General features: G+C 35.9%; 1 annotated feature.

Moving 5' to 3' along the window:
• Window positions 11206–11375: an enhancer, noted in NCBI's record as "experimental_33503 CRE fragment used in MPRA reporter constructs". NCBI's record gives its function as "activates a minimal promoter by MPRAs in K562 erythroleukemia cells, with activity observed for the non-introgressed 13:82329367 variant allele {active_cell/tissue: K562}" and the evidence as "EXISTENCE:reporter gene assay evidence [ECO:0000049][PMID:34662402]".

Here is a 19511-nt window from a genome sequence, read left to right as displayed (position 1 = left end):
TGTTTTGTAGTTCTCTTCACAAAGATCTTTCACCTCCTTGGTTAGGTGTATTCTTAGGTATTTCATTTTTTTATGTGTCTAGGTAAATGGCATTGTGTTCTTGATTTAACTCTCATCTTGAATGTTATTATTGCTACTAATTTTTGCACATTGATTTTGTGTCCTGAAACTTTACTAAAGTCATCTATCAGTTCTGGGATAATTTTGGTGGAGTCTTCAGGGTTTTGTAGGTATAGAATTTTATCTTCAGTGAAGAGAGATCATTTGACTTTTTCTTTTCCTATTTGGATGCCTTTTATTTCTTTCTATTGCCTGATTGCTCTGGCTAGGATTTCCAGTACTATGTTGAGTAGGAGTTGTGAGAGTTCCCCGTTAAAAAGCGGGCAAAATACATGAACAGACATTTCTCTAGAGAAGACAAATAAGTGGCCAAAAAACATATGAAAAAATGCTCAACATCACTAATCATCAGAGAAATCTAAATCAAAACCACAATTAGATACCATCTCATAGTCAGTCTGACTATTATCAAAAAGTCAAAAAACAACAGTTGCTGGCAAGGTTGCAGAGAAAAGGGAAGGTTTATACACAGCTGGTAGGAATGTAAATTAGTTCAGCCACTGTGGAAAGTAGTTTGGAAGTTTCTCAAAGAACCTAAAACAGAACTGCCATTCAACCTAGTAATTCCACTATTGGATATATAGCTCAAGGAAAATAAATTGTTCTACAAAAAAGACACATGCACTTCTATATTCATTGTTGTACTATTCACAATAGCAAAGTCATGGAATCAAGTTAGGTGCTCATCAGTGCTGGATTGAGTAAAGAAAATGTGGTATATATACATCATGGAATGCTGCACAGCCATAAGAAAGGATGAAAGTATGCCCTTTTCAGCTACATGAATGCAGCTAGAAGCCATTATCCTAAGTGAATTTACACAGGAACAGAAAACCAAACACTGCAGGTTCTCACATGTAAGTGAGAGCTAAGCAGTGAGTATACATGAACAAAAACATGGCAAAAATAGACACTGGGAACTGCTGGTGGTGGGAGATGGGGAGGAGAGCAAGGGGTGAAAAAGTCCCTGTTGTGTACTATGTTTATACCTGGGTGATGTGATCATTTGTGGCTCAAATCTCAGTATCTACAATACACTCACGTAACAAACCTACACATGTACCCCCTGAATCTAAAATCAAAGTTGAAAATATAAAATAAAAACAATATAAATATACACAATATATTATTATGTCATAATTATTGTGTTATTTTTGAGGACAGTGCTTGTCTTCTCTTTTTAACCTAATGTATGTTATGATTTCCTAGAATTAAGAGCACGAGATATGTCTTCTCCCTGATGTTTGCTGGTGATTTCATCATTCTTTTATTATTTCCTCACAGGAATGTTTTAAAGTTACATATACATTTGATGTAGTTGATTTAGTTTAGTTTAATATTTTATAAATTAAACCCAGACCTACAGTAATATGACACTTTATACTGAGCCAAAAGATTAAGTGAAGGTTTCAGTGTCTACCATACTTTTATCCCTACCTTGCTTCCCTCTGTACACCTCTTGTACCATCAGTGACATAAGCATTGAGGAAAAGTATCAGTATCAATTAGAATGTTAAATATCAATAAAGACCTGTAGACTGCCTACTATTACTAGACCTTTCAATAATATAGTACATTTCCTTGGGATTGTAGAAATTAATATGATGAGAAGCTAAGTTTACTTGCTGAAGACTTGGGTGGGTGATGTAAGGAAAAAGAAAAATTCAAGAATAACCTCATTAAGGAAATATCCAATATAATCTAAGGTAATCCTGAATATAAAGGATATTTGCTGATATTTATCTATTGAATGAAGTTTATAAGAAAACTTTGTAGACATTAGAAATAGAATTTAGTTATCCTACACATTTTAATTAAATATAGGAGGAATGTAATATTAGCTTTGAATTTTCTGAATCTCTTTGGAATTGTTTGAGATTCACTGAAGCTTTCTTGGATCTTTTACTGAACTATGATTGTATGGGCTGAAAAAGTCCCTGGTGAGAATCTATCCAGTCTATGACTGGATAGACTAAACCGTGCACCCTCCTTGCCAAATTTACATGTTGAAGTTCTAACCCCCAGTGTGACTGTTTTTCAAGATAGGGCCATTAATAAGGGAATTATGGTTAAATTATTTTCTTTTTTTAACCTCCTGTGCTTTATGATTTCCTAGAACTAAAAGCAAGGGAAGTGTCATCTCCCTGATGTTTGTGGGTGACTTCATCATCATTTTAAAAAATTATTTCTTCATAGTAATGTTTTAAAGCCACATATCCATGTTATTAGAATTTACTTAGTTTAAGATTTTGTAAATTAAGCCCAGATATACATTAGTTTGGCACTATAAATGGTGAAGGCCTAATTCAATAGGACTGATGTCGTTAAAAGGAGAGGGGGAGACACCAACGAAAACACCATGTAAGGGCACAGCAAGAAGTCACTATCTGTAATCCCAAGAGAGAAGCTTCACCAAAAACCAACTCTGACGGCACCTTGATCTTGGACTTCAAGCCTCTAGAAGTATGAAATAAATTCTATTATTATAAGCCAGTTTGTGACATTTTTGTTACGGCAACCAGAGTAGACTAATACAATAATAAACATACCAAATTGGCATTCCAGCCACATTGGTTTGTGCATTTTAGGAGCAAATTCAGACATTTTCTTATGTATCTGAGTATAATTGACTCCTTAAATCCATTGATGAACCTAGATTACTTGAAGATAATTTTTATTATTTTTGAGATGCTCTTAAAATCTATAACATCATAATATGATGCAAAAAATGTGCATCTTATGCATATAGGCTTTCTAGTAGTGTGACTTAAACCATAGTCATTAATGTTATGACAAAAATAGTCTTGGAATTTATTTCTATAACCATAAATTTTAAGTAAAATATAAACAAACATTTGATTTAATCTTATCAAGATTAACATACATGCCTCACCTAACCTTAACAGTTAAAGAATTTGAGAAACTTTTAAAAACTGTCTCAGCAATAGAATAAAATATGAATATTCAAATGAATATGTTATAAATATAGATTTTAGAGAAAATGAGAAAGGAAGATGACACTTGAAATGGTTTCCCTTTGATTCTTAAAAAAAAATCAATCAACACACAAAAATCCATTAACCTTTAGAACACCCTACCCTGTAAGGCTACTTGGGTCATCAAGTGCAACATGTAATTCCCAGAAGTGTTTACAACATATTTTCTGAGGATTCAATGGAATAAATGAGAAGAAACAACTAACAATATTTTGATAAGCTGTCAATAGGGAAAAAAATTCATCTGAAACATTACTGTTAAATATCAAATTTTAAATGAAAAATAATTATCATGAACAAGATACACAAAAGTAGCTTTCATTAAAATAATGTAGATTTTTTTTCTCATGTCATGTAAACTTTAGAGAAAAATATAAATAATAGACTTTTGTTATTTTCAAAATCTTTAACATGTAAGAGACTTGGAGGTCAGAACCTGCAGAAGGATTTGCTTACTGGGGAGTGGTGATTGTTTCTTTTTAAAGGTAGGTGTTGTAGAACGAGTAGGGGGCTTAAGTGACAAAAAAGGATTTAAATATTATTTGAAGTTTCAGTTTCACCATAATAAGGACCAGGAAATTGTCTAGGATTCAAATAAATATTCTGAATCACAGACTACCATAGGCCAACACATGGCATCAGTTACCTAGAAGATGACCAGGTAGGAAGAACAGCTTCACAGTATAGCATTGCCAGGCATTTCTTTCAGCAAGAACCCTGGTGGCAGCAGTTCCTAAAGTAGTCTCTAGGACAGTTTGGGAGCTAGTCTCTCCTCAGCGAACAGTCCAGGTGTGAATAGAGGAGATGCATATTGGGCAGGTGTGGGAGCTGCCCTCACATAACATCCTCTGGATTAAAACCTTTATTTCCCATAGCAATAAATATCACCTTTAACATTTCTTTGTACAGCATCTATTTACCCTTCTCAATATAAGAGTTATGTCTTCAGAGATACCCAATGCTATAGTGTCCACACTGGGTATTTAAAGTTCATTCATAGTTCCAAATAGACTAGATGACATTTTTCTATTAGGAATCATTTATTTGTTATAAATAGGTTGCCTAAACAATAATTGAATTCCAGTCATCAGATTACTATAGTGACAGAGCTGAATATTTTTTCTCCAAACTTTACATTCCCATGCAACCGAGAAAATTATTTTTTAATCTATGTATTTGTATACATCATGTTCTTCATTGAGGACAACAACAACTGCAAAATATAAATTCTTAAATTATTTTTATATTTAATATAACAAAATTATTTTAATTTTTATCCACAGAAGCAAAAGTATAAAGGTATTTTTCAAAAGAATAGTAAAAGGAATGATTTTCCCTTCTAGGTCATAAATATAAATCTATAAAGTATAAAACTTTTGTAGTATAACACAAAATTTAGAGAACTAAAATAATTCAACAATAAACACTAAAAGGTACACATATTTAGTACATATGTATGTAAACTTATATTTTATATACATATATGCATGTATACATGTGCATACATATTACACATGTATCACAGACATACATATATAATAAAATATGTAACTATGTAATATAATACAATATATATATGTTTACATAGTTGTAACAAATCAAAGATGAAGAGCATTATCAGTCAATAAATTGAGTGGCATTTCTTTCATTTTGAAAAATATGTTAAATCATAGATCATGACGTACAGAAGTGAATACACTATATATTAATTCATTAAATATACAAATCATGAGCCATTCAAAAGTATCAAAAGATGACATTAAAATACTTATTAAACCTCTGGTAGAATGGTTGATTGAAAATAATTTTCAAAGAAAATGTGTGGGCTCTCAGTGTTAAATTCCATTTCAACAAATAATAAGTTTCTATCATGTCCCCGAGATTATCTTAGATATTTAAATAAACTTTTAACTTTTGAATGTCAAAGAAAGGCAAAGATGATTTTTTTCTAAAATGTCTGGTTTTTATCTTTATTTTTCCTTAGCTTGTGGCTGGTAGACACGTCCGAAGAAAATTTGTGATCTGTCCCTAGATAGTATTCTATATTTCAAGGTATATATATTCTTTGTTAATCCTATCCTTATTTAATCATTTTTTTCTTGTCCATCATGTCAGAGGAAGCAGTTCTCATGTGCCTAGGCTCTGCATTATTAGACATCAGTTTGAAACATTTCTCTGTAATTACCTGTTGTTAAATGGATTTATTACTTAACATCTTTAAGCCTACATTTTCTTCTCATTTAGATAATTCCTAATCCATGAAGTAGTTGTAAACATGAGTGTAAACACTCAGTAAAGGTTAGTTGCCATTACAAACATTTTTCAATGTCTCTTCTTTTATAAAATTATATTACTACAGGTCAGGTGTGGTGGCGTGGCTCACGCCTGTAATCCCAGCGCTTTGGGAGGCTGAGGCAGGCGGATCACAAGGTCAGGAGATCGAGACCATGCTGGCTAACATGGTGAAACCCCGTCTCTACTAAAAATGCAAAAAATTAGCCAAGTGTGGTGGCAAGCACCTGTAGTCCCAGCTACTTGGGAAACTGAGGCAAGAGAATAATTTTTGTATTTTTAATAGAGACGATGTGTCACCACATTAGCCTGGTTGGTCTCGAACTCCTGACCTCAGGTGATCTGCCCACCACCACCTCCCAAAGTGCTGGGTTTACAGTCGTGAGCCACAACACTCAGCCCAGAAAGTATGAAAGTCAAAGTATCACTAGGCTGCCACTTTCACATGTGACTATTGTTTGCCAGTGACCAAGTGCTCACAATTATCCATAACTTACCCATCCATTTGGCGTGTCAAAGACTTGTCAGACTCCTCTCCAACCCGCAGTTTCCTGAACTCTATTTTGTCCCCACATATAAGCAAGCACTAAGATACAGAACATTCCTTTTAAGCAACTCACACTAAGAATTGGCAGGCCACATAAATATATGCTGTTAAACCTCTATGATCCTGCTGTCTGCTCACCTTCAGTGCTTATAAAGTTCAGGCTATACATGTTTAATGTTTAACCCTTTCTTCAAAAGAAAAGTATTTTTATCTTTGATTTTTGAGATGCCCAGAAATTCAGAGGTCAAAGTGTGTATTAGTTTGTTTTGTGTTGCTAAAACAGAATACTACAGAATAGGATATAGATAGATAGATAGATAGATAGATAGATAGATAGATAGATAGATAGATAGATAGATATTTCTTATGGTTCTACAGGCTGAAAAGGCCAAGGTCAAGAGACCCACATTTGATGGGGGGTCTTCTTGCTGAATCTCCCTATGAAAGAAGAAGAGTGAGAAAGCCTGAGAGAGAGAGCTATAGATCAAGGGTTGAACTTGTTTTTATAAGAAGCTGACTCTTGCAATAACTAACCTGTTTCCATAACAATTACACTCATCCATTCAAGAGGGTAGAGCCCTCATGATGTAATCACTTCTTATCAGGCCCACCTTAAAACACTTTTGAATTGGGGATTAAGTTTCTAACACATGAACTTTGAGAGACACAAATAAATAGTAAAATGACCTCCCTATTGTAATAGTCTTTTCAAATAAAGTCTCTCCTTACATAAATCCAGATTTGTTTATATTTGTCATGGACATCATTTCTGGATTATCTGTTAGATTTTTGTATAGTTACCTAAAGTTTGAAAATTTATAAAATATTGTTTGACAGATGATATGGTTTGGCTGTGTTTCTACCCAAATCTCACCTTGAATTGTAATAATCCCCACCTGTCAAGGGCAAGGCCAGGTGGAGATAATTGAATCATGGGGGCAGTTTCCCCCATACCGTAATCATGGTAGTGAATAAGTCTCATGAGATCTGATGGTTTTATAAATGAGAGTACCCCTGCAGAAGCTCTCTTGACTGCTGTCATGTAAGAGGTGACTTTGCTCCTCATTCTCCTTCTGCCATGATTGTGAGGCCTCCCCAGCCATGTAGAAAAGTTAGTCAAGTAAACCTCTTTCCTTTATAAATTACTCAGTCTTGGGTATGTCTTTATTAGCAGTGTGAGAACAGACTAATACAGTAAATTGGTACCAGTCAAGTGGAGTGCTGCTCTAATGATACCTGAAAATATGAAAGCGACATTGGAACTGGGTAACAGGCAGAGGTTGGAAGAGTTTGTGGGGCTCAAAGGAAGACAGGAAAGTGTGGAAATGTTTGGAACTTCCTAGACACTTGTTGAATGGCTTTGACCAAAATACTGATAGTGATATGTACAGTAAAGTCCAGGCTGAAGTGGTCTCAGGTGGAGATGAGGAACTTGGGAACTGGGGCAAAGGTGACTCTTGCTATATTTTAGCAAAGAGACTGGAAGCATTTTGTTCCTGCCCTAGAGATGTGTGGAACTTTGAACTTGAGAGAGATGATTTATGGCAACTGGTAGAAGAAATGTCTAAGCTGCAAAGTGTTCAATAGATGACTTTGGTGCTATTAAAAGCATTTAGTTTTATGTATTTACAAAGATATGATTTGGAATGGGAAGTTATGTTTAAAAGGGGAGTAGAATATAAAAGTTTGGAAAGTTTGCAATCTGATGATGCAATAGAAAAGAAAAGCCCATTTTCAGAGGAGAAATTCAAGCCTGCTGGCTAAATTTACATAAGTAATGAGGAGCCAAATGTTAATCACCAAGACAATGAAGAAAATGTCTCCAGAGCATTTCAGATGTCTTCAAGGCAGCTCGTCCCATCAAAGGCCTGGAGGCCTAGGAGGAAAAATAGGCTTCAAGTGTCAGGCCCAGGGCTTTGCTTCTTCATACAGCCTCAAGACTCGGTGCCCTGCATCTCAGCCATGGCTAAAAGGGGTCAAATTAAAGTTCAAGCACTCACTTCAGAGGGTCCAACCCCCAAGCTTTAGCAGCTTTCATGTGGTGTTGAGCCTGCAGGTGCACTGATGTCAAGAATTGAGGTTTCAGAACCTCTGCCTAGATTTCAGAGGATGTACAGAAACACCTAAATGTCCAGGCAAAAGTTTGATGCAGGGATGGAGCCCTCATGGAGAACCTGTGCTAGGGCAGTGTGTAAGGGAAATATGGGTGAGAGCCCCCACACAGAGTCTCCACTGGGGCACTACCTAGTGGAGCTGTGAGAAGATGGCCACTGTCTTACAGATCCCAGAATGGTAGATTGAACAGCTTTCACAGTGCACCTGGAAAAGCTCCAGACACTGAAGGCCAGACAGTGAAAGCAGCCAGGAGGGGGCTATACCTTCCAAAGCCACAGGGGCAGAGCTGTTCAAGCATCAGTGTGGCCAACCACCTCTAGCATCAGTGTGACCTGGATGTGAGATATGGAGTCAAAGGATATCATTTTGGAGCAGTAAGATTTGACTGCTTGCTGGATTTTGAACTTTCATGGAGCCTGTAGCTGCTTCATTTTGGCCAATTTCTCCCATTTGGTACAGGTGTATTTATCCAGTGCCTGTACCCCCATTGTACCCAGGAACTAACTAACTTGCTTTTGATTTTACAGGCTCATAGACAGAAAGTACTTGCCTTATCTCAAATGAGACTTTGGACTGTGGACTTTTGATTTAATGCTGAGATCAGTTAAGACTTCAGGGAACTGTTGGGAAGGCATGATTGGTTTTGAAATGTGAGAACATGAGATTTGGGAGGGGCTGGGGTGCAATGATATGATTTGGCTGTGTCTCCACCCACATCTCACTTTGAACTGTAATAATCCCCACATATCAAGGGCAGGCCCAGATGGAGATAATTGAATCATGGATGTGGTCTCCCCATACTATTCTCTCCTGGTAGTGAATAAGTCTCACCAGGTCTGATGCTTTTATAAAGGGGAGTTCCCCTGCACAAGCTCTCTAGCCTGCTGCCAGTAAGACTTTGTTCCTCATTTCCCTTCCACCATGATTGTGAGGCCTACCCAGCTATGTGGAACTGTGAGTCAACTAAACCTCTTTCATTTATAAATTAACCAGTCTTTGGCATGTCTTTATTAGCAGTATGCAAACAGACTAATACAACAGGCTTTTTTTTCCCTTTATTTTATATTTTCCTGCAAGATAAATATTGACTTTCAAATAATTTTTTAAAGTTATTTTTAAGGTTTTTTTAAAATTTAAAAAGATTTCCTCTTTAGTTTTTGTTTTAAAGACTCATTTAAAATGACTTTATAATAAACCACAGGGACAATAGTGCTAAAATAACAGCTAGACTCTTCTTCTTCCACTTTGTGAATAATGGAGGGATCAAAGTCATTCATACCCAGATTTCCTTTCCTAAGCTCTACAACATTACAAAACAAACTAAACACTGAGATTACTTGTCTTATTATCTTATTTAAGTAAAAGGCTATTACTCATTGTGACTAGAATTGTAACAATTAGACTTATACTGTGAATGCATTAAAATACATAATTTCTATAATTAAAACAAGTATGCTATTTCTATAGAAAATGTGGAAAGTATGCCTCTATCTTCATCTAAATTCATAATAATTTTAGTAGCCCCTATTTAAATATATCCAGGTTAATAAATCAAAATACCATTAACTGGGTAGCTTGTAAACAGCAGAAATACATTTGTTACAGTTCTAGACACTGAAAATTTCAAGATCAAAATACTGACAGACTCAGTGTCTGGCAAGGACTCAGTTTCTTATAGATAGCCCCTTCTCACTGAGTTCTCACATGGTGGAAGAGGCAAAGCAGATCCCTGGGGACACTTTGGGTAACTAATCACCTTCATGAGGGGTTTACCCAAAATCCTTACTTCTGATCACTTTCCAAAGACTTCACCTTCCCATTACAATGATGCTGGGGATTAGGATTCCCCATATAAATTTAGGGGGGATATAAACTTTCAAATTGTATAAACCCTATCTTTGCTTTTTAAGCACCTCAGAAAGCAGTAATATTAAGGCACATTTTCTATAGGTGCAGAATCTCCATTATATTATGTTAACAATGATAACTTGATCTCATACATATATATATATTTATATTTATTTACATTTACTTTTGTCAAAGTTCTTTCAATCATCCATTAATTATTACAGCTAAGAATCAGGGTTACTCAACTCTCTAACAAAACTGCATACATAGAAAGTCTATACATGATGTACGTAGAGTTGTTAGAGACTCTGAAGACCTCTGTTGTACATTTAAATCTCTTTCTTTTTGCTCCAGGACCACAGAAAATTACATACATTTGCTCTCTAGACTTGATTAATTTCTTCACATTGCTCTAGAACAGCCTGGCACTTCTCTTTTCATTGGCCTTCTCAATAGAGCTTGGCTTATCTCCAGACCCATATGCTTCATTGAGTCTTTTCTCAAGACTTTCATTTGCACTTAAAATCATCTGCATAAAATAGCTTTAGCATATTTACCTTATATTTCTACTTAACTGCCTCATGTGTGTATTTTTTACTCCTCATCTACATTGTAATTCCTTTTTGAAAAAGATACTTAATTCTCCTTTTAATTTCCCAGCATGTCCTCATCCTGGACATCATAGTGATGGAGTCTGTGAAGGATTTCTTCTTACATATCTGTAAAATACTGTGACCTTCATTTTAAGTTATGCTGATAAAAAGTTATTCATCCCTTAAAACTTCCTTATGGAACTTCTATTTATACAATACAGTAGGAATTTATCTGTTCTCTTTTCATAAAATTTTTAAACTGAAAAAATGTAAAACAATTTTAAAAGTTTTTTGATAAGTAATGGACTACATGAGATTTTTAGGATACATTGTCACATGGATGTTAATTTGTAGGAACTATAATTAATAGTTATATTAATAGTGAAAAGAAATAGAATATATAATTTTGCTAACAAATTCATATAAATTATAAACGTGTTTTTGACATAGAAAACAAATCCTATTAACTAATAATTATTAATGATGCTAATGCATTCTATTACTATTTTGAAAATTGATTTTGATGTTGACATGTTAGCTTTCAGTTTATATTTAAAAAACAAAGCAATTAAAATATGAATACAATAATTTACATATTGTACAAATACAAAATTATAAAATACAAGACATTTAAAATTATTTGAATACTCATTGAAACTAATTTTTCATAAAGATAAATTATAATTATAAGCAGCTATAAGAATTGTCTTCTTATTAAACATCTAGAAGATACATATTTCACTATAGCGAAGGTAATGAGCTAGCCACAAAATGTGTGCTACAACTTAAATAATGCAGAATTTTTTTTTAGGAGAATCATATCTAGCAGACATTATTTCTCATTTTCCTGTTTTGTTTTGGCCACAAATTGTTTACCATAAAACGTACATTGGTCATTATCATTAGTATATTTGCCTTGTATATTAGTCCATTTTTGTACTGCTATGAAGAAATACCCAAGACTAAGTACTTTACAAGGAAAAACAGCTTTGATGGACTCACAGTTTCACATGGTTGGGGAGGCCTCACAATCATGGCGGAAGGTGAAGGAGGAGCAAAGGTATGTCTTACATGGTGGCAGGTAAGAGAGCATGTGCAGGGAACTGCCCTTTTAATAAAACCATCAGTTCTCATGAGACTTATTCACTATCAGGGGAACAGCATGGGAAATACCTGCCCCCATGATTCAATTACCTCTCACTGGGTCCCTCCCTTGAAACATGGGGATTATGGGAGATATAATTCAAGATAAGATTTGGGTGGGGACACAAATAAACTGTATCTTTCCACCCTGGCTTCTCCCAGATCTCAGGTCCTCACATTTCAAAACCAATCATGCCTTGCCAATAGTCCCCCAAAGTCTTAACTCATTTCAACATGAGTTGGACTAAAAAGTCCAACTCCAAAGACTCATTTGAGATAAGGCAAATGCCTTCCATTGATGAGCCTATAAAATCAAAGCAGGTTAGTTAACTTCTTAGATACAGTGGGGGTACAGGCATTGGATAAATACACCCATTCCAAATGGGAGAAATTGGCTAAAATGAAGGGGCTAAGGGCCTGTGCAAGTCTGAAATCCAGCAGGGCAGTCAAATCTTAAAGCTTTGAAATGATCTCTTTTGGCTCCATGTTTAACATCCAGGTCATGCAGAGGTGGGTTCCCACAGCCTTGGGCAGCTCCCTCCCTGTGGCTCCCCATTCTTGCTGCTTTTACAGGCTGGCCTTGAGTGTCTATGGCTTTTCCAGGTGCATGGTGCAGAAGTTCCAAAGTTTCCCACATTTTTCTGTCTTCCTCTGAGTCCTCTGAATTGTTCCAACCTCTGCTTGTTACCCAGGTCCAAAGTCCTCTCCACATTTTTGGGTCCTAATAGCAGTACCCCACTCTACTGGTACCCATTTACTGTATTAGTCCATTTTCATACAGCTCTGAAGAAATACCTGAGACTGAATAATTTATAAGGAAAAATAACTTTAAAGGATTCACAGTTCTACATGGTTGGGGAGCCCTCACAATCATGGCAGAAGGCAAAGGTAAAGCAAAGGCATGTCTTACATGGTGGCAGGTAAGAGCCTGTGCAGGGGAGCTACCCTTTTAAGAAACCATCAGTTCTGGTGAGACATATTCACTACCATGAGAGCAGCATGGGAAATACCTGCCTCCATGATTCAATTACCTCCCACTGGGTCCCTCTCATGACACATGAGAATTATGGGAGCTACAATACAAGATGAGATTTGGGTGGAGACAAAGCCAAACCATATCACGGGGTTATGCAGATGTTAAAATTAGCAAAGAAGAATTTTAAAATAGCTATCATTATTTTTCTCGATAATGTAAAAAAAATGCTTTCAATGATAGAGAAGATACAAAAGGTCTGCATAAAAATAGAAACCATAAAAAAACGGAAAATTTCAGAGCTTAAAATGTAATACATTGGGTAAAAAATAATAACTAAATAGATTTATTTAGAACAGTTATTACAGAACAGATGCAGTTAACTTTAAGATGAATAAACTAAAATCATCTAATTGGAAGAAGAAAAAAAACATTTAAATAAAAAGAAGCAGAGCCTAAGAGATCTTTGAGACATCATCTAAGGAACTCACATATGCATAATTAAAGTTCCTAACAAAAAGAGAGAAAGAATAAGAAAGGAAAAATCTGAAGAACAGTGGCCAAAAAAATCCACAATTTGATAAAGAATATAAATTTTCATAATTGAAAAGCTCAGCAAACCTAAGACATTATGAATACAAAGTAAACTATGGCTTTGCCTAAAAATTAGAGCAAGTTTATTTTATTTTATTTTATTTTTTAATTTTATCATTATTGGACTTTAAGTTTTAGGGTACATGTGCAAACATGCAGGTTTGTTACATATGTATACATGTGCCATGTTGGTGTGCTGCACCCATTAACTCATCATTTAGCATTAGGTATATCTCCTAATGCTATCACTCCCCCCTCCCCCCACCCCACAACAGTCCCCGGTGTGTGATGTTCCCCTTCCTGTGTCCATGTGTTCTCATTGTTCAATTCCCACCTATGAGTGAGAACATGCGGTGTTTGGTTTTTTGTCCTTGCGATAGTTTGCTGAGAATGATGGTTTCCAGTTTCATCCATGTCCCTACAAAGGACATGAACTCATCATTTTTTATGGCTGCATAGTATTCCATGGTGTATATGTGCCACATTGTCTTAATCCAGTCTATCGTCGTTGGACATTGAGGTTGGTTCCAAGTCTTTACTATTGTGAATAGTGCCACTATAAACATACGTGTGCATGTGTCTTTATAGCAGCATGATTTATAATCCTTTGGGTATATACCCAGTAATGGGATGGCTGGGTCAAATGGTATTTCTAGTTCTAGATCCCTGAGGAATTGCCACACCAACTTCCACAATGGTTGAACTAGTTTACAGTCCCACCAACAGTGGAAAAGTGTTCCTATTTCTCCACATCCTCTCCAGCACCTGTTGTTTCCTGACTTTTTAATGATTGCCATTCTAACTGGTGTGAGATGGTATCTCATTGTGGTTTTGATTTGCATTTCTCTGATGGCCAGTGATGATGAGCATTTCTTCATGTGTTTTTTGGCAGCATAAATGTCTTCTTTTGAGAAGTGTCTGTTCATATCCTTTGCCCACTTTTTGATGGGGTTGTTTGTTTTTTTCTTGTAAATTTGAGTTCATTGTAGATTCTGGATATTAGCCCTTTGTCAGATAAGTAGGTTGCAAAAATGTTCTCCTATTCTGTAGGTTGTCTGTTCACTCTGATGGTAATTTCTTTTGCTGTGCAGAAGCTCTTTAGTTTAATTAGATCCCATTTGTCAATTTTGGCTTTTGTTGCCATTGCTTTTGGTGTTTTAGACATGAAGTCCTTGCCCATGCCTATGTCCTGAATGGTATTGCCTAGGTTTTCTTCTAGGGTTTTTATGGTTTTAGGTCCAACATGTAAGTCTTTGATCCATCTTGAATTAATTTTTGTATAAGGTGTAAGGAAGGGATCCAGTTTCAGCTTTCTACATATGGCTAGCCAGTTTTCCCAGCACCATTTATTAAACAGGGAATCCTTTCCCCGTTGCTTGTTTTTGTCAGGTTTGTCAAAGATCAGATAGTTGTAGATGTGCGGCATTATTTCTGAGGGCTCTGTTCGATTCCATTGGTCTATATCTCTGTTTTGGTACCAGTACCATGCTGTTTTGGTTACTGTAGCCTTGTAGTAGAGTTTGAAGTCAGGTAGTGTGATGCCTCCAGCTTTGTTCTTATGGCTTAGGATTCACTTGGCAATGTGGGCTCTGTTTTGGTTCCGTATGAACTTTAAAGTAGTTTTTTCCAATTCTGTGAAGAAAGTCATTGGTAACTTGATGGGGATGGCATTGAATCTATAAATTACCTTGGGCAGTATGGCCATTTTCATGATATTGATTCTTCCTACCCATGAGCATGGAATGTTCTTCCATTTGTTTGTATCCTTTTATTTCATTGAGCAGTGGTTTGTAGTTCTCCTTGAAGAGGTCCTTCACATCCCTTGTAAGTTGGATTCCTAGGTATTTTATTCTCTTTGAAGCAATTGTGAATGGGAGTTCACTCATGATTTGGCTCTCTGTTTGTCTGTTATTGGTGTATAAGAATGCCTGTGATTTTTGTACATTGATTTTGTATCCTGAGACTTTGCTGAAGTTGCTTATCAGCATGAGGAGATTTAGGGCTGAGACGATGGGGTTTTCTAGATATACAATCATGTCATCTGCAAACAGGGACAATTTGACTTCCTCTTTTCCTAATTGAATTCCCTTTATTTCCTTCTCCTGCCTAATTGCCCTGGCCAGAACTTCCAACACTGTGTTGAATAGGAGTGGTGAGAGAGGGCATCCCTGTCTTGTGCCCGTTTTCAAAGGGAATGCTTCCAGTTTTTGCCCATTCAATATGATGTTTGCTGTGGGTTTGTCATAGACAGCTCTTATTATTTTGAGATATGTCCCATCAATACCTAATTTATTGAGAGTTTTTAGCATGAAGCGTTGTTCAATTTTGTCAAAGGCCTTTTCTGCATCTATTGAGATAATCATGTTGTTTTTGTCTTTGGTTCTGTTTATATCCTGGATTACATTTATTGATTTGTGCATGTTGAACCAGCCTTGCATCCCAGGGATGAAGCCCACTTGATCATGATGGATAAGCTTTTTGATGTGCTGCTGGATTTGGTTTGCCAGTATTTTATTGAGGATTTTTGCATCAATGTTCATCAAGGATATTGGTCTAAAATTCTCTTTTTTTGTTGTGTCTCTGCCAGGCTTTGGAATCAGGACGATGCTGGCCTCATAAAATGAGTTAGGGAGGATTCCCTCTTTTTCTATTGATTGGAATAGTTTCAGAAGGAATGGTACTAGTTCCTCCTTGTACCTCTGGTAGAATTTGGCTGTGAATCCATCTGGTCCTGGACTTTTTTTGGTTGGTAAGCTATTGATTATTGCCTCAATTTCAGAGCCTGTTATTGGTCTATTCTGAGATTCAACTTCTTCCTGGTTTAGTCTTGGGAGGATGTATGTGTTGAGGAATTTATCCATTTCTTCTAGATTTTCTAGTTTATTTGCCTAGAGGTGTTTATAGTATTCTCTGAGGGTAGTTTGTATTTCTTTGGGATCAGTGGTGATATCCCCTTTATCATTTTGTATTGCGTGTATTTGATTCTTCTCTCTTTTCTTGTTTATTAGTCTTGCTAGTGGTCTATCAATTTTGTTGATATTTTCAAAAAACCCGCTCCTGGATTCATTAATTTTTTGAAGGGTTTTTTGTGTCTCTATCTCCTTCAGTTCTGCTCTGATCTTAGTTATTTCTTGCCTTCTGCTAGGTTTTGAATGTGTTTGCTCTTGCTTTTCTAGTTCTTTTAATTGTGATGTTAGGGTGTCAATTTTAGATCTTTCTTGCTTTCTCTTGTGGGCATTTAGTGCTATAAATTTCCCTCTACACACTGCTTTGAATGCGTCCCAGAGATTCTGGTATGTTGTGTCTTTGTTCTTGTTGGTTTCAAAGAACATCTTTATTTCTGCCTTCATTTCCTTATTTACCCAGTAGTCATTCAGGAGCAGGTTGTTCAGTTTCCATGAAGTTGAGCAGTTCTGAGTAGTTTCTTAATCCTGAGTTCTAGTTTGATTGCACTGTGGTCTGAGAGACAGTTTGTTATAATTTCTGTTCTTTTACATTTGCTGAGGAGTGCTTTACTTCCCACTATGTGGTCAGTTTTGGAGTAGGTATGGTGTGGTGCTGAAAAGAATGTATATTCTGTTGATTTGTGGTGGAGAGTTCTGTAGATGTCTATTAGGTCCACTTGGTGCAGAGCTGAGTTCAAATCCTGAGTATCCTTCTTAACTTTCTGTCTCGTTGATCTGTCTAATGTTGACAGTGGGGTGTTAAAGTCTCCCATTATTATTGTGTGGGAGTCTAAGTCTTTTTGTAGGTCACTAAGGACTTACTTTATGAATCTGGGTGCTCCTGTATTGGGTGCATATATATTTAGGATAGTTAGCTCTTCTTGTTCAATTGATCCCTTTACCATTATGTAATGGCCTTCTTTGTCTCTTTTGATCGTTGCTGGTTTAAAGTCTGTTTTATCAGAGACCAGGATTGCAACCCCTGCCTTTTTTTGTTTTCAATTTGCTTGGTAGATCTTCCTCTCTCCCTTTATTTTGAGCCTATGTGTGTCTCTGCACGTGAGATGGGTTTCCTGAATACAGCACACTGATGGGTCTTGACTCTTTATCCAATTTGCCAGTCTGTGTCTTTTAATTGGAGCATTTAGCCCATTTACATTTAAGGTTAATATTGTTATGTGTGAATTTGATCCTGTCATGATGTTAGCTGGTTATTTTGCTCCTTAGTTGATGCAGTCTCTTCCTAGCCTCGATGGTCTTTACAATTTGGCATGTTTTTGCTGTGGCTGGTACCAATTGTTCCTTTCCATGTTTAGTGCTTCCTTCAGGAGCTCTTTTAGGGCAGGCCTGGTGGTGACAAAATCTCTCAGCATTGCTTGTCTGTAAAGTATTTTATTTCTCCTTCACTTATGAAGCTTAGTTTGCCTGGATATGAAATTCTGGGTTGAAAATTCTTTAAGAATGTTGAATATTGGTCCCCACTCTCTTCTGGCTTGTAGAGTTTCTGCCGAGAGATCAGCTGTTAGTCTGATGGGCTTCCCTTTGAGGGTAACCCGACCTTTCTCTCTGGCTGCCCTTAACATTTTTTCCTTCATTTCAACTTTGGTGAATCTGACAATTATGTGTCTTGGAGTTGCTCTTCTCGAGGAGTGTCTCTGTGGCATTGTCTGTATTTCCTGAATTTGAATGTTGGCCTGCCTTGCTAGATTTGGGAAGTTCTCCTGGATAATGTCCTGCAGATTGTTTTCCAACTTGGTTCCATTCTCCCCGTCACTTTCCGGTACACCAATCAGACGTAGATTTGGTCTTTTCACATAGTCCCATATTTCTTGGAGGCTTTGTTCATTTCTTTTTATTCTTTTTTCTCTAAACTCCTCTTCTTGCTTCATTTCATTCATTTCTTCTTCCATCAGTGATACCCTTTCTTCCAGTTGATCGCATTGGCTACTGAGGCTTCTGCATTCATCACGTAGCTCTCGTGCCTTGGTTTTCAGCTCCATCAGGTCCTTTAAGGACTTCTCTGCATTGGTTATTCTAGTTATCCATTCGTCTAATTTTTTTTTCAAAGCTTTTAACTTCTTTGCCATTGGTTTGAATTTCCTCCTGTAGCTCGGAGTAGTTTGATCGTCTGAAGCCTTATTTGTTGCAAGTTTAAATTAAAAAAAATATAAATACAATATTGTAAAAATAGAGAAAATGCCATAATACACATAAAGGAAGAAAAATTTAGATTACCAGTAAATATTCATCAAAAATCATAAAGGTCAGAAGATAGTAGACCAGCCTCTTCAATGCATGGAGAGAAAAATAACCTGTAAACTCAGAAGTCAATATTCAGCAAAAATATCATTGAAACAGTAGGTGAAATAAACAGATTCTTAGATAAGCCAAAGCTTAGAGAATTTATTGACAGCAAATTTTCACCTCAAGATACACTAATGGACATTCTACATTGTAAGAAAATAATACCAGATCTTCATGAAGATCTAAGATCTGGAGAAATAAAGATAACAAAAGATGAGATATACCTAGATACACATAAAATATACTTTTTCTTTTCATTTCTTTAAAAGCAGAAAGAATGTTTTTAAAAATGTCATAGTTTGTTTGTGTATGGGAGTGGTGAGTTTCTAATATATGTAGACAGGTTCCATAAGATAACTATAGCATGAATTACAGACTGGGGCTTAGTTAATGGACCCATAGGATTTCATGGTTGCTATATTATATGTGATATGATACAATATTAAATCTAAGTAGATTGTGAAAACTTAAGAATGATTAATATAATCTTTAGATCAATTATACCTGCAAAATACCCTTCCAAATAGCTATAACAAGATGGCCGATAAATAAAATGGAATTTTAAACTTATACAGACCCTTTGGAAAATTATATGGTAATACATCTTAGCCTATTTTAGGATTCTTATTTATTAACCACCTAATGTTTGGCCCTTATATAACACTTATAGAGCAAAACTGTTTTTACAGAGAACACTGGATGAAAATACTGCAATGGTTATGAAGTATATAGTTTCATATTTACTCAATTTTGGAATTTTAAAGTTGTATATATACTATCATGGGTATTATTACTATTAATACATTATAACTTCCATTGAGGTTGTAAAGACTGTCTTTCAGTTATTCAGTCCTTTTTTTCTTTCTCTTACAAACATATACAAATATAGAATTCAGGCTTTTGATTTTCTGTCACTGCTTTTTCCAATGTTACACTTCTCTCTCAAATTTCACTTGATTGCATTAGTCCATTCTCACATTGCAATAAATAAATACCTGAGACTGGGTCATTTTTAAAGAGATTTAACTGGCTCACAGTTCC

This window comes from Homo sapiens, chromosome 13 (genome assembly GCF_000001405.40).
Source record: "Homo sapiens chromosome 13, GRCh38.p14 Primary Assembly".
NCBI classification, from domain to species: domain Eukaryota; kingdom Metazoa; phylum Chordata; class Mammalia; order Primates; family Hominidae; genus Homo; species Homo sapiens.
The sequence above is the reverse complement of the archived record's forward strand: the minus strand, read 5'-3'. Positions and strand labels throughout refer to the sequence as shown.